General features: G+C 37.8%; 1 protein-coding gene across 5 annotated transcripts in view; it reads left to right on the top strand.

Annotated features, from left to right (window-relative positions):
• The window catches only part of TSC22D1 (TSC22 domain family member 1), a 145,202-nt gene that overhangs the window by 95,879 nt on the left and 32,555 nt on the right, over positions 1-16,768 (top strand). The window contains exon 1 of one of the 5 annotated variants that reach the window (NM_001243798.2): positions 7,125-7,248. The exons of the other annotated variants lie outside the window; for them this stretch is intronic. The gene's annotated coding sequence lies outside the window, so the exon portion shown is untranslated. Of the gene's footprint in view, positions 1-7,124; positions 7,249-16,768 lie in introns of those variants that run through there. 5 annotated transcript variants of the gene reach the window in all.

The following is a 16,768-nucleotide window of genomic DNA, read 5'->3' as shown; positions in this document are numbered from 1 at the left end:
CCTGTGTTCTCTGGGACTTTGCTTTATCAGGATATATCATCTCTTGTTTAATCTTTTCCACTTTATTGACAACCTAAGTGAACCAGAACCACCCACCCCTCACCAGTTACCTGTCTTCCTCATTTTACCCATTCATCTACACTGCTGTGGTGTGGCTGTTCCTTTTTCCTTACCACCTCCCACCCCAAGCTTTTTCTGCAGATGTCACCAATGACTTCCTAACTGCGAAGTCTCAAGCCCCGAGGATCCCATTTCCATCCTTCTTGTCTCATTTGATCTCTCTGTATCTTTGGCATTGCTGCCTGTTACTTCCTGAAGTTCTCCTCTGTTGGCTCCAGTGCACCAGTCTCTTCTGGTTCTCCTTCTGTCTCTTGGCCTTCTCCTTTTCAGTCTCATTTACTATTTGTTTGGCTTCTCTCCCCAGCTCTCTTAAACGTTGGTGTTTCCCTAGGTTCTGTTGCTTGGCCTCCCTTCTTTTTATAGTAGGTTTTCTTTGTACTCCAGCGACCCAATTTATCTGTGGAACCCAATTCAGCCGCTCATAACACAAGGGGAAGAGGGTGTAGGCAGCAGCCCCCCATAATCTCTATGACCTGTTACACATGAAAGCTTCACTGAGTAAGCATACAATCTATGTAAAACAACCAAAAAACAAACATTTATGTAAAAGGAGTGTGGTTAGTATGGAAACTTGGCCTCAAGAAGTGTCTCCTAACCCCTGTCCCTGGACTCCTTTGTAGAAATTCTAGAGTTGTCTGGAGTGTCTTCAATTTCCCTGTGAACATATCTACTTGGATGTCTCCTCCAAACAGCCTCTTATTTATTCCTGTTTTCACATAATCCACCCCTCCTGTATTCTCTCACAGCTACTAGTACCAACATGTACTCTACCTTAAGCCCAAACCCTGCATCATCCTAAATTCTACTTTATTCTCAACAGCTGGTCCTGGGATCGCTGCTGCCTTCATCTCTCATCTGTGAGAGAATTTCCTATATTATAATTATTTGATTCATGTCTATTTCTTTCATTAGAATCTTTATGTCCCAGGCACCTACAATTTTTATAGTATTAAGTGTTCAACTAATACTTTTATATGTAAAAATGAATTTATCAGCAATCACTAATTCCCAAGGAATTAATAGCATTACCCTGTTGTCTTAAAAAAATGCCAAAACCATAAGAAAATTGATTTTCCAATCTTAATTTTTTAATGTTAATGAATGTTAAATTCATGCTATATTAAAATGAAATACTTTTAAGATCTTTGTCTTTTACAGTTGCTCAATTTAAAGGAAAGTTTTTTCAGGTGCTGTTGATAACATTTTGGAACTTGTACACATCTTATACATTCAATTTAAAAAAAAGATCCAAACTTATCAGTCTTGTTATTAACACTATTTTTCAAATTTAATATTTCTCAGTATTTATTCATTGAATGCTCTCAAATGGTGGCTTAATAGTTTCATGTTTGTTAAATACAGAGCTGTGTCTTCCATCTGCTATTTTTGAAATAAAATTTTCATACAGCAGTCCTTGATAGGGCCAGCCTAGAATCATAGACTTTTTCCATTTTAGTCCTAAATAAATAATAGGATGGCATGCTGTAGATTCTGAATAGTAACAACTTATTTACCTGATTTTTCATTGGTTTGAGTATTTGATACACAGAAATTGAAGCTTAAACTTTTATCTAATCTTGTTTTAACCTTCTGAGAAGACTGTGTGTCCTTAGTGACTCAGATTTAGCATACAGGTGATGAGTTGTCTCATTTGGTGGCCAGTACTTACTTTTTGTCTTATTAGGTTGAAAGCTATCTCTTCTTGAGAATGCTGGTGTATGTGGCTGGTAACAGCTTGCCATTTTTGTTTAGTTGCTTTTACTTTCCTGAAACCCAGGAAGCCAGATAATTAAGTTTTAAGGATTATACGATATACAAGTCAATAATTTTCTAACAAGATCTTAAAAGCACAGTATATTGCTTTGGTACAGTGGCTTTATGAGAGCTTTTTGAACTGTTTAGAGTAGGGGTGTCCAATCTTTTGGTTTCCCTGGGCCACGCTGGAAGAAGAATTGTCTTGGGCCGCACGTAAAATACACTAACACTAATGATAGCTGGTGAGCTAAAAAAAAAAAAAAAAAAATCACAGAAAGATCTCATACTGTTTTAAGAAAGTTCACGAGTTAGGCCGCATTCAAAGCTGTCCTGGGCCATGCCCGTGGGTTGGGCAAGCTTGGTGTAGAGGTTGGTTTTCATTCTTCAAGTTTCTAGACTGTGTGCTAAAGGTTAGGGTTGCTGATTCTAGATACACAGATGCATTTTCCATTCATAGATAACCTAGTTCTGGTGTTTTTTAGTATCAGTCACTCTTGTGTAGTTTATTTCATTGGATCTGCTCCTAGGGCCATCTAGGACCAAGTAAGAGGGCTTAATATTTTTTATTCAGTAATATTCAGAGACCTATAATCTTTGATGATACAGGATAGAGAGCCTGACTGAAAAGCTACACACATACACAAACACACACGTAAACATACACACATACATAAATACACACACACACACACACACTACCTGTGTGTTTGTTTATATATCAGACATAGCAAAAATTCATTAATCTCGTTTCTTTTGGTTCACTGCCAGAAATCCCTACCTAGTGCTGTTTGACAATTAGTGTCCATGTCTGCATACTGGGCTCTCTTGCTGGGTGGCGTCCATAGTAGGAAAACTAGATACCGTGGTAGAGTGTGGTAAACAAACTAATCATGAGTTTTCCATAAATAGTTTGATGGTGGCTTATGTTTTGGAATGTGGTGTAAATTTACTATCATTGGCTCATTTTAATTATGTAAAGAATTGCTATGCATGAAAAATGTGAAAAAATTCAAATACCCCATTATTTTACCCTTCCCCCCCAGATTTTGAGCTTCCTATTTATTTTATTCTTTGTAGAGACAATAAAGCATATACACTCTGGCATCAGACTGCCAGGTTCCAAGCCTGACAAAAAATTATTAATTTATGCCTATGAACTTGGGCATGTTATTTAGTCTTTCTGTGTCTCAGTTTTTCTGCCTATAAAATGGTAAAACAAAGTTAGAGTTATCATGAGGATTACATGAGGTAATATACGTATAAAGTACTTAGTGTGTGGAGTTCAATATTAGTAATATTATTCTACATGTATTTTTTCTGTATAAAACATACAGAAATGTAAGTAAATTTTAAATGTGAGTAAATTTTAATATTTCTTGTAACTTAAGGCTTGCAGAATTTTCTGGCATCTCTAAGAGAATGTTGTGATTTAACTGTTTAAGTAATTTAAAAATAGTTCTGCTTTTAAATTTTCTCCTAGTTTTCCCAAGGAATCTATAGACATTATTTTACTTATTATTATTATTATACTTATTATTTTACTATTTGCTTTTTATATAAGGACTTTACTTTAAAATAGTGTTAATACTTCTGTGTTCTTCATGGTCTCTTCTTCTGTCTCTTAAGGAATGGTATTTAAATCTATTAGCAGGCTGGGCGCAGTGGCTCACGCCTGTAATCCCAGCACTTTGGGAGGCTGAGGCGGGCAGATCACTAGGTCAGGAGTTTGAGACCAGCCTGGCCACCAAGGTGAAATCCTGTCTCTACTAAAAATACAAAAATTAGCCAGGCGTGGTGGCACCCGCCTGTAAGCCCAACTACTCAGGAGGCCGAGGCAGGAGAATCACTTGAGCCCAGGAGGCGGAGGTTGCAGTGAGCCGAGATCATGCCCACTGCACTCCAGCCTGGGCGACAGAGCAAGACTCCGTCTCAAAAAAAAAAAAAAAAAAAAATCTATGAGCACATTTGATAGGGAGACCTCACTTGATCTAAGGGTTCATGCAAGGCTCACTTCAGGAAGGAACTTCCTGAGATCCAAAGAGTGATCAGAGTTATAAACTAGAAAAGGTGTACCATGGAAGGACATGCCTTTCAGGCAGAATTAGACGTTTAAATGCCCAGAAATGAAAGGGAGCCATTATTATATATAAATAATATATATTGTTTCAGGAAAAATAATGGATTCTTATTTTTGCAGTGATTGTATTTTATTGTTAAATATATTCCATCTGGGAAGATCCATGCAACAATCTTTAAATTTTTAAAATCAATCAGTGACTAGGATAGTCTAATATAGTCTTAGTAAAATGTTTGTGTTTGAGAAAATATAGGTCAGGTTGGCCAGGCATGGTGGCTCACGCCTGCAGTCCCAGCACTTTGGGAGGCCAAGGCGGGTGGATCACTTGAGGCCAGGAGTTGGAGACCAGCCTGGCCAACATGGTGAAACCCCGTCTCTACTAAAAATACAAAAATTAGCCAGCTACTTGGCAGGCTGAGGCACGAAAATCATTTGAACCTGGGAGGTGGAGGTTGCAGTTAGCCAAGATCGTGCCACTGGACCTCCAGCCTGGGCGACAGAGCAAAACTCTGCTCAAAATAAAACAAACAAACAAACAAAAAACAGGCCAGGTGTGGCAACTCGTGCCTGTAATCCCAGCACTTTGGGAGGCTGAGGCAGGAGGATTGCTTGAGACCAGGGGTTTTGAGACCAGCCTGGGCAACATATCAAGACCCCCATCTCTACAAAAAATTAAAAAATTGGTGGCATGCACCTGTAGTCCCAGCTACTTGGGCTGCTGAGGCAGGAGGATCACATGAGCCCAGGAGGTTGAGGCTGCAGTGAGCCATGATCATGCCACTGCACTCCAGCCTGAGTGACACAGCAAGACCCTGTCTCTAAAAGAAAAAGAAAATATAAAAAGAAATTTGATTTTTAATGTAGATTGTAATTACTAACTATAGAAAACAGCCATCATAAAATTTCCCTTTGACTCATAATTGTCTATGATTTTTAAATTAAAGGTTGACTTCAAGTATAAGATTTATTTTTCATAATTCAAGTGTCAGATCATGCAGTTTATGGGCACTCTTGATAACTTTCTTTTTTTAAAATAGAGCACATCATCCCTGTTTTTGTATATTGATATTTTTTATTAGATAATAATCAACAAAAAGAAAAAAATCACTTCATTATTCTGTTTATTTCAAGTTACAAATAATTTATATAATTGTTGACTGATACAGTATTAATGATTCTGTTTTATAATAAACATAATGTATTTTTATATTTAAATTCCTGGACACAACACAAGTTTCCCTACAGTTTGTATATAGCTTATATAACTATTAAAGTAGAAAGTTGGATAGACTGGGAGTAATACTTAATTTATGTATATGTCAATAATCACATCTCAGCTAATATTTGAAAACTCCATATCCCTTAAGATGTAAACAGTTTTCATTAGAATATTAGTTTTTATTAATTATAATCCATGTAGCCCCCACCTAATGTGGGATACCAGTGCCTCTTCCAAATATTTTTTGGAGTCCCCAGAGTATATTATATGGTTCATGCAGAGCTCTGGGTGTCAACCACATGGCATTAATTTTAATTTTTTTCTTCTGGCCATGTACTAAGGTTTTGTCATTTTCACTGGAGACTGCCACTTTTGTTGGGCTTTGTTGTTGATCTTTCCTTTGGCCATTGCAGGGACTGGCTGAGCTGGGTCACTTAGTGCTTTGTAGGACTTTTTGGTGGAGCTATCTAGTCTGGGAGTTTTATTTGAGGAAATATTTTTCACTATTATATTGATTTAATTTTATATGATGGCAATATAGGACTATTCAGACTTTATATCTCTTTGTTTCAGTAAGTTATATTTTTTCTATTTGACCATTTAATCTATATCTCTTAAATTATGGTTACATATTTTTTTCGTTCCTGATACTGCTTATTTCTGCCTTCTCTTTTTTTCTTGATTAAATTATACTGGCGGCTTGCTGGTTTATGGTCTTTTTCATACAGCCAATTTTTGGTTTTGTTGATCTTCTAATATATGCTTGTTTTCTATTTTAACAGTTTTTGCTGTTGTCTTTATCTCCTTTCTTGAATTTTTTTTTTTTTTTGCTTTTGTTTGTTTTACCTCCCTCTCCTGACCCTCCCACCCTGCCAGTTTCCTTGAAATCCTTATCCCAATAATCTTTAGGCTTTATTCTAATGTTCAAGACTATACATTTCCCCTAAGTGCTACTTTAGATGCATCCTGCAGTTTTAATATATGCTACATTTGTCATTGTTCATTTCATTCTTATAATTTAAAACTACTTTTGTGATGTTGGACCCTTTGGATTATCTTTTTTCTACTACAAAATTTTTTTAATTTTCTCAAGTTTATTTTTTTAAGGAGATCCAACTTGTATATTTACTTACTAATTACATACATTTTCCGTCTCATAATTAATACCATTCTGCTTTTATTCCTTTCACTTGTTTTTTTGGTTGGTTTTATCAGTCTCTTGTCTACCTTCTGGAACAACATTGCAGACTGTTTAAATAATAGAAAAACAAAGAATTGTAGATTTCTTTTTGTTTCCCGCCCCTTCCCCACCTCTGCTCCAATAAGATAGTATATTTCTAGGGCTAGAGTAGAATATCTAAGATATAAATTGCAGGAAGTACAATGAGGCCTTATTGTACTGGGAATGAAAAAGTTGTCAGATATCTCGTTTCTACATTTCTGAGGCTTCTTGATACCTGCTTGCCTGGGTTTTGGTTTACTTGTCTGGTTAGTTTTTCTTCCCTTTCCTCTCCCTCCCTCCTTTTACTCTCCTCCCGTCCTCCTTCCCCTACCTCCCTTTCTTCATCTCCTCTCCCTCCTTCTTCCCTCCATTCTTATTTTTAACCCTTCCTTCATCCTTTCTCTTCCTCTTCTCCTTCCTTCCATTCTTGCATCCTTATTGTTTTTTCACCTCTGACATAAGTGTGTCAAAAGTGGGGAAAACCCTCACTAGATTTTCCTGATTTTGGGATCAAGACGAAATGATCTGTAGAGGTCTTATGTTATTAACTTGTTGCACTCTAAGAAAACCTAAAGAAAATCACCCATGCCTTTTAAAATGCTTGAAACATAACAAATCACTATATTCATAGTATTTTTGTTCTCTTTGAAGTAATGAGTCATCATAAATAAATTGGACCACTGCCCCTTTAAGTAGAAACTGCCTTAGGGGACAGATGGAATTTTGGGACTACTTCCTGAAGCACTTGTTTGTCCACCAGGAGTGTCAGTTGGGCCTGGGTGGGAAGAGAGGCCCAAGAAAGCCACCATAGTCTGTAGCGTGAAGCTTTTCCTATAGTCTAGTGATAATCCTGCTGTGAGTACCTCACTGTAATTCAAATAATTGTGGAAGGAATTGTCTCTCAGTTGTCCTAAGTCCTGCCTAGTACCTTGAAAAGCAGTTGGTTTCTAAATACTCAGCTTGGAGGGTGAAATAAGGTTCAGTTCAGCCATTTTAGTTCTTTGCTTTGTTTTTCCCAGCTGGAAAAATTTTAAAGCTATTTTAAAAATCACTTGGAGGATTATTTGGAGATCATGATAGAAATTTTTTACTGGTTAACTGAGATGAATTGTATAGTCCTTTTTTAGCTTAAGATCTTTAAACATTTAGTTGCATAACAGCTTTTTAATTTGTTGGACTCCTCAGTTGAAGCCATTACAAATTGGCTTAAAATTGTAAAAGATTGAGTATTATATTGAGCCTTTCTATCAGAAAACATTAGCTTAATTAGTCTATAATTAAAGATGATGTTAGCTGTACTTTAGTTTGTCTTAGGAATAGAGGTCCTCAAATTATATGTAAACCATCAGTTGCATGGTTCTTTTGAAATGTGGATTTTTGTGAATGCTTAATAAAGCTGGCCTGACTAGCTTAATTTAAAAATATATACATCTATGCTAAATATATACACACACACACACACACACATATATACTGCTTCTACTGTTTGTATAACTTAAACTGATTTGCATGCTGACAAAAGTACTCATCCAATTGTACAGTTTTATTTTTATTTATTTATTTATTTTTTATTTTTAGAGTCAGGGGTCTTGCTCTGTCGCCCAGGCTGGAGTCCAGTGGCATGATCTTGGTTCACTGCAACCTCGACCTCCTGGGCTCAAGAGATCCTCCTGCCTCAGCCTTCCAAGTAGCTGGGACTACAGGTGTGTGCCACCATGCCCAGCTAATTTTTGTATTTTTTGTAGAGATGGGTTTTCACCATGTTGCTCAGGCTGGTCTCAAACTCCTGACCTCAAGTGATCCACCTGCGTTGGCCTCCCAACGTGCTGGGATTACAGGCCTGTGCCGTTGTGCCTGGCCTCCAGTTGTATAGTTTTAAATGAATGTAAAATACTTGAGTGATTGGTAGATTTAATATTATTTAATAAATTTAATATTTTAAATCTAAAAATGCATTAATCAGTTTGAATAAAAGATGTACATTGGGTCTGCAATTCCGTTTTAAAAAGAGGAATTCCCCTGCACAAGCTCTCTCTCTTTGCCTACTGCCATCTATGTAAGACGTGACTTGCTCTTCCTTGCCTTCCGTCATAATTGGGCTTCCCTGGCCACGTGGAACTGCAAGTCCAAGTAAATCTCTTTCTTTTTTAAATTGCCCAATCTCAGGTCTTTATCCACAGCATGAAAATGGACTACTGCAGTTGTACAATTAGATGTGGAGCTTATTTTGAGAAGAATTTGAGGGATAGAAGGAATGTTCAAAAATATATACCTCAAAACAAAGAAAATTGCCTTTCCTTGAAGATTAGGTCATGGCTCACTGCAGTCTCAACCTCCCAGGCTCAGGCAAAGGCAGTCCTCCCACCTCAGCCTCCAGGGTAGCTGGGTCTACAGGCACATGCCACCACAACCGGTTAATTGTATAGCCAGGGTTTCACCATTTTGTCCAGGGTGGTCTCAAATTCCCGGACTCAAGTGATCTGCCCACCTCAGCCTCCCACAATATTGGGGTTACAGGCGAGGACTATGCTTTTTCATGTTTCCGTTTTAGGGACCTGGTACACATAGCAGGTCCTCATATGTTTGTTGAGTGAGTGAGTGGGTGAGAGGGGAGACAGAAATCAGATATGTCAATGGTTGAGAGTGTCTGAAGGATTGATACCAGTGTGCAAAGTAAAACATGCTGTCTCATATGAAAAAAAAGGAACAGTTCTCAAGTTGTGAGACAAAAGAGATGACCAGTATTTGTTAAATAGAAGAATTCAAAGGATGCTGTATAACAGAAAAATGCCACAGTTTATCTTTGCATTTGTGACCCCTCTTTATTCCAGGGGTCACATTCTAAGACTCCCCATGGATGCCTGCAACTGAGGATAGGATCAAAACCAATATTCAGTATGTTTTTTCCCTATACATACATACCTCTGATAAAGCTTAATTTATAAATTAGGCACAGTAAGAGATTAACAACAACAGTAATAGAACAATTATAACAATATGCCAGCATTACTACTCTTGCACTTTGGGGCTATGAAGTAAAATAAGGGTTACTTGAATCCTCCAATCACTTTGACACGCTGACAGTGGATCTGATAACTGAGACAGTTACTGGGTGACTAATGGGCAAGTAGTGTATACAATGTGGATCTGCTGGACAAAGGGAGGATTTCAGCACATAATTTAACATTTATGACTTATTTCTGGAATTTTCCACTTAATATTTTTGGAGTATAGGTAACTAAAATTATGGAAAGTGAAACCACAGATAAGGGAGGACTCCTGTAATTGGTAGTTTATATTTTCACAGGATAAGCTTTCAATATTTTATTTGTCAAAGGAGACTTAGTCATCACTTAACAATTTTCTAAAAGTAATTATTGTAGATGATGCTCTGAAACTGCCAGTGGTTCTGTATTTTAATTCACTGTTTTAGAACTATTCTCTTATACGTCAATATGATGTTAAGAAACTTAAGTCTATTTAGGTTCATTGAAGAGTCTGAACAATCTAAAAATTATAAGTTTAGTAAAGATATAGAAATTTACCATACTTAATCTCTACTTGTAGTTAAAAATTGATCAAGCAATGCTATCTAGTAAGTTTTGCAGTTCTATTTATTTAACATTCCGGCTATTTAACTGTCAGAAAGGAAAGTGTGATGGTAAGAGTTTATCAAGAGATCCAAGTGCTACACAATTGCATTTCCACATCTTATGTTGGAAGAGATAATTTAGTTTTGACCTGAGAAATAATTTCATTTCAAACAAATTTCAGTGCATTTTAGCTAATGTCAGCATGAGTATTTAATATTTTAAAATAACTTTATCTTGATTAATATTTTTTCAAATAAGCACATTTTTTAAAATTAGAAAATTTATGGTAAAGTATGAAGTACTTTTGAACAGGTACCACAAGGTGGCAGGATTGTATTTTGTAGATTCTTTTTGCTTTGATGAACAGCAAACCATTGGTTATCTAAAATCTAAGTTTTCCAGATAGTTGGCTATTACACACTTTATATGCCAGAACTTTTAAATTTTAACTTTTTTGATGGAAAACTAAACTATATTTCACATTTCCTGATTTCTTAAGCAGTAGAATATAACTTATCTGTTGTCAGTGAGCCATTTGAATGTATTATTGGATGTGATTAAGATGGAGTGGTCAGTAACAGTAGTGTGGAGGGAATAAGGACTGGTCCCAGCAGAGACTCTGGACCGTGACTCTTAAAAGCTGGGTCTGACGTCAACTTGCTTTTTGCTTTATCTGCATTTTTTTCCTATTGGAGGTGAAGTGAATCATGTGAAGTGCCAGCCTCTGGTGTGGTACAACATGGCTGCTTTCCTGCAAAATTAAATAGCAAATGAAGGCAGACATTGCCTTCTCCCAGCGGCTTTTGTGACACAGGGTATTTGGGGGAAGGAAAATAAACTATGAGGCCTTAAAATTTCTTCTTCAAACACCAGTATCGTAAAGGTAGCACCAGACCATGAGGAATGAGTTCTGTAGTTATGAGAAATATTAGAAACAAATCTAACTGCTCATGGAGCAACTTTAAGGAATCTTTCCTATAAAAATATTTTAGACTCTGAGTTGTACATCATTTGTATGAATGAGATAATAATAATTATAAAGGATGTGGCCAGACGCGAATCTATTTTCCTTTCGAATCCAATTACCTGCTCTGGTAATTGGAGAGCTGTTTCAAGGCAGTTTATGCCTTTATTGGTGATACAACAAGCAGTGGGTAAAATCTTCATCCTTTGGACTTCTTGGTTTGCTCATTAGTGGATACTGTGTTTCCCTTTCCACAGGCTTCCAGGTCTGGAGTTGTTCTGCGAACCTGTTATAAAAGATTTGACTAGGGGGAAGTTTTCTTTCATATTTGTTCCCTTCATTAATTACTTGCATATTTTTCTAATCTTTTAAAAGATGAATCAGTTTAACATCACATAAGCACTAAGAAAGCAACAGTTGAGCCCTACCTTAAGGGGAGAGGAGAGGGCATGGTTTCCAGCAGCAATCCTTTCTCTGGCTCTCTAAAATGTTTATCTACCTGTCACTTTCTTACTCATATGGATTTTGCATGATGGCTGCATAAATCATCATATTTCCCCCCTCATCTTAAATTCAGTCCTCAAGGGGTAATGGAGAACTTTTATAAGAGCTCCAGAGAAGCCACAGGAAATAACTGATAAATTAGCTCCACCTGAAATGGATATTAGGGCATCGTCAATTGACTCTTCTCAGTTCTGCTTGGTAGTAGAACTTTTTTTTAAACTTCATAGTAGACGAGTAAGTGGAACTTTCATGACTTAAATAGATAGATAAATTTCACTAGCTTGTACTTCTAGGATTGGGTACATTTTCCTCTTGGCATGGTACTATGTGTTTTCAAGTAAAAATAATACAATTCAAGTCTGACAAACTGGCTCAGTGAATTATACAAGATTCGTGCTTTAAAACACAGTCTACACCCTCCCTGTTGCTTTGGGGCAGAGTTTTTGAGTAATTGGACATCTAAAACTAACTCTGAACTTCAAGATTACCAGAAAGATCAGATGCAAGAGCTTAATTTGTGTTAAGAACATCCTCCTACATATTCTGCCAAAAGTTTAAGAGCTATTAGTAAAAGCAGCTCATTTGAAGTAGTATGAGATTTGAACATTTAACTCCAAGATAGCTAGAATTTTATTAAAACGGATTTAAAGAATTAGCCCACAATTTAAATACTTTTCTCATTTTAAATGTGGCTTAAGATGTATTTGTCTTTATGAAGGAATTTTGGATTAAAAACTGTACTGTAGTTGAATTTAGGAAAGGGAAGCCGGAGATGGGTAGGCGGTGGGTACTTATAGATCTTGAATGCCTGGTTATAAAGATTGGGGGCTTACCCTGTAGGTACCCTGTAATCATTAACAGACTTGTAATTGCATGGGTGACAGGCAGGAAATGTTTTAAGAAAATTAGCCTGAAAGCGCAGGGTGCATTTGCTTGGATCCAGCTGGAGAGAGATTGGAGCCAGATGGACCAGTTGAGATGATATGGCAATCAATAATCTGGAAGTTTTATGATATAAATCTGAATTAGTGTGATGTCAGTAGGAATACAGAAAGAATTTAAAAGCCTTTAAGATATTATTAGGGCAGAATTGATAAAACATAGCAACTTGCTAGGTGAGGTTAAGAAAAAACTATGTTATATAAAATTTCTATTTTTGTTAGAAACAGCAAACTTAGACATAAGCCAGTCTTCTACAGGAAAACTATTTCTGTGCATTTAGCATATTATAAATTCTTCATAATAAAGATGATAATATTTCTTGATATAAAGACCAGTAATAGGAGATACTGTTGATTTTGTGTCTGATTTCAAAGAGTGAAATGGCTAAAGCGACTTGAACATTCCCATAGTATAGCGGTTCCCAAATGCTGGATTAAATACCAGCTACCTCAAAAAATTACTTGGTTTGTTGCAGGTGGAAGGTATCTTAAATAATGCAGAATGTCATGGTTAGGAGCACAGACTGTTTTGAAACCTGGATCCATCTACTATGGGCAAGTTACTTCTCTGTGTCCCAGGTGACTGTTAGGGTTGTTACAGGAACGAAATAAGATGATACATACAAAGTGCTTAGAAAATTGCCTAGCATATTGTAAATGCTGAATAAATGGTAGCAGCTTTTTTAAAAAAAAAATTCAATAGCTTTAGGGGTACAAGTGGTTTTTGGTTACATAGATGAATTGTACAGTGGTGAAGTCTGGGCTTTTAGTGTACCCATCACCCGAATAGTGTACATTGTACCCAACAGGTGATTTTCTATCCCTCACCCCCTTTCTACCTACCCCACTTCTGAGTCTCCAGTGTCCGTTATACAACTCTGTATGCCTTTGCATACCCATGGCTTAGCTCATGTTTATAGGTGAGAACATTTGGTATTTGGTTTTCCATTCCTGAGTTGAGTTTGCTTTGAATGATGGCCTCCAGTTCTGTCCAAGTTGCTGCAAAAGATATTATTTTGTTCTTATATGGCTGTTCTTTTTATTCCATTGTGTGTGTGTGTGTGTGTGCGCGTGTGTGTATAGGTTGATCCCATATTTTTGCAATTGTGAATTATGCTGTGATAACATATGAGTGCTAGTGTCTTTTTTATATAATGACTCTTTTCCTTTTGGTAAATACCCAGTAGTGGGATTGCTGGATTGAATGATAGATCTTCTTTTAGTTTTCTGAGAAATCTCCATACTGTTTTCTACAGAGGTTGTACCAATTTCCCACCAACAGTGTATAAATGTTCCCTTTTCACTGTATCTGTGCCAGCATCCATTGTTTTTTGACTTTAAACAATGGCCATTCTCCCTGGGGCAAGGTGGTATCTCATTGTGGTGGTTTTGATTTGCATTTCCCTGATGATTAGTGATGTTGAGCATTTTTTCCATATGTTTCTTGGCCATTTGTATATCTTCTTTTGAGAAATATCTATTCATATCCTTTGCTCACTTTTTAACGGAGTTATTTTTTTTTCTTGCTGATTTGTTTGAGTTCCTTGTAGATTATGGAGATTATTCCTCTGTCAGGTGTATAGTTTGCAAATATTTTCTCCCATTCTGTAGTTTGTCTGTTTACTCTGTTATTTCTTTTGCTGTGCAGAAGCTTTTAGTTTAAGTAAGTCCCATTTATTTATTTTTGTTTTTGTTACACTTGCTTTTGGGATCTTAGTGATAAATTATTTGCTAAGGCTAGTGTCCAGAAAGTGTGTCCTGGGTTTTCTTCTAGAATATTTATGGTTTCACGTCAGGTATCCATGTCCTTAATCTATCTCAAGTTAATTTTTATATATGGTGAGAGACAGGGAGGGATCCAGTTTCATTCTTCATAGCAGCTATTTTTTTTTGTTTTTTTGTTTATTTTGAGAAGGAGTCTTGCTCTGTTGCCCAGGCTGGAGTACAGTGGCGTGATCTTGGCTGACTGCAACCTCCACCTCCCGTGTTCAAGCAATTCTCCTGCCTCAGTCTCCGGGTAGCTGGGACTACAGGTGTGCACCACCATGCCTGGCTAATTTTTGTATTTTTAGTAGAAATGGGGTTTCGCTTTGTTGGCCAGGCTGGTCTCAAACTCCTGACCTCAAGTGATCTGCCCACCTCGGCCTCCCAAAGTGCTGGGATTACAGGCTTGAGCCACCATGCCCGGCCATAGCAGTTATTGTTGCTAATTTATTATTTTATATCTCTGGAGATTCTAATTCATAAGGTTTGACATTGGGCTCAGGAATCTATATATTGTTTTCTTTTTTTTTTCTTTTTGAGACACGGTCTCATTCTGTCACCCAGGCTGGAGTGCAGTGGTATGATCTCAGCTCATTGCAGCCTTGACGTCCTGGGCTCAGGTGATTCTCCTATCTCAGCCTCCCAAGTAGCTGGGGCTACAGGTATGCATCACAACACCAGGTTGATTTTTTGTATTTTTAGTAGAGACAAGATTTCACTATGTTGTCCAGGCTGGTCTTAAACTCCTGAGCTCAAGCGATTCGCCTGCCATGGCCTCCCAAAGGGCTGGGATTACAGGCATGAGCCACTATGCCCGGCCAAGGAATCTGTATTTTTAAAATATCCCCTCCTGTGACTCTGATTACCAAGTTTGAAAACTTTTGTTGCCACCCACTTATCTACCTCCATATAATAGGATGGTATTTAAACCACTCTGTACATTTTTGTCCTTTATTTTGACATTCCAAAGATGGCCATGTTTTAAAATGGTACGTGCTATTATTTGTATGTGCTAAGTCGCACTGAATAGTTTACCCAAATCCCTCTGGTACTAGTTCTAAGCTTCCACCCTCTCCCTATACCCCTTCCCTAGCTTCTTGAGGATCGTAAATCCTAGCCCTTGGATGCCAGCCCTATGTGCTGCCTTCTTGAGAAGTCTAGATGAGTGCTCCTGGGGGATTGGCCCTCACACTGCAGCTCTGCTTATTTCCAGCCCTGCTTGTGTCCTAGGAATATCCTTGTAAATTTTGTTGGGAAAAATGAACAAACAGTCTTATTTGCTAATTAAAAATTGCAAAGTTTTGTTTGTTTGTTTGTTTGTTTGTTTTTTCTTGAGGCAGAGTTTCGCTCTTGTTGCCCAGGCTGGAGTGCAATGGCACAATCTCAGCTCACTGCAACCTCTGCCTCCTGGGTTCAAGCGATTCTCCTGCTTCAGGCTCCCAAGTGGCTGGGGTTACAGGTGCCTGCCACCACACCTGGCTAATTTTTGTATTTTTAGTAGAGACAGGGTTTCACCACGTTGGCCAGGCTGGTCTTGAACTTTTGACCTCAGGTGATCCACTCGCCTCGGCCTCCTAAAGTGCTAGGATTACAGGCGTGAGCCACTGTGCCTGGCCCAAATTGCCAACTTTTTAATACATAAGTAATATCAGTCGTGGGCTTTGTTGTTGTTTAGAAAATTTCTTCCTAAGAGCTATTCTCCAATGCTCTGATTGCTGCCAGTGCCCCCTCTGGTCTAGTGGTTTGTAGCCCTGGCTTCACATTGAAATCACCTGTGGCAGCTGACTCACACAAGATGAGTACAGTCTGAATCTCTGAGGCATGAGCCTGAACATCTGTATTTTTTAAAAGCTTCCTACATGATTCTGAAGTTCATCCAAGGTTGAGAACCACTGAATTAGTCTCATCATTGTCATGCTCGTGTCCCCCCACAGAGTCCTATTAGAAAAAGGAATGCTTCAGCCATATGACGTGAATATAGCTTTCTTAGCCTGGCAAAGTCTTCGGGGGTAAAGACAAAGTTTAAGCCTGCATTTTTTTTTCCTGGGAGGCTCTCCTTGTATTCCTGTCTCTGTGCTTTAAACCTTCACACATGCTATTTCCATATTAGGTCAAGGTCCTGTGTTACATACTGTCCTAGTACCGTGAAAGTTTCCTTCAGACATTTCTTCTATGCCACGATATATATGTTCCTAAATACCTCATTCTGCAGCATTATGTGTTAAAAATAAGACAGCCTATGAAGAAAACACGGTGGGGGTCAACCACTCAAAACTTGTGCAGCATTGTAACCAGAGCAGTGAGAAAACAAAAAGTTGGTACCAGTTTAGTAAAACAGCAAGCTCTAATGGTAGGTATTAAAAAATACACAAAGAAGAGTGAAATGCTACCAACATTTTAATTAGAGCAGAGGTGGCAGGTGCTGATATAACACAGAAGGAAGTGGAGCTCCAAACCAGGGGCGCTGCAGTAAGGTTGGGTACAAGAGTCAGGGTAACCTGGCATAAGCTGAAAGGAGCACAAAGCTGGTAGGGGCTCCTGGTGGAAGTGCTTGCTTTTAGGTCTTGTTAAATACAAATGAAAAGATTCTTCCTGCTGCTATACAGCAG

This window comes from Homo sapiens, chromosome 13 (genome assembly GCF_000001405.40).
Source record: "Homo sapiens chromosome 13, GRCh38.p14 Primary Assembly".
NCBI lineage: Eukaryota > Metazoa > Chordata > Mammalia > Primates > Hominidae > Homo > Homo sapiens.
This window is presented reverse-complemented; position numbering and strand designations above follow the sequence as displayed.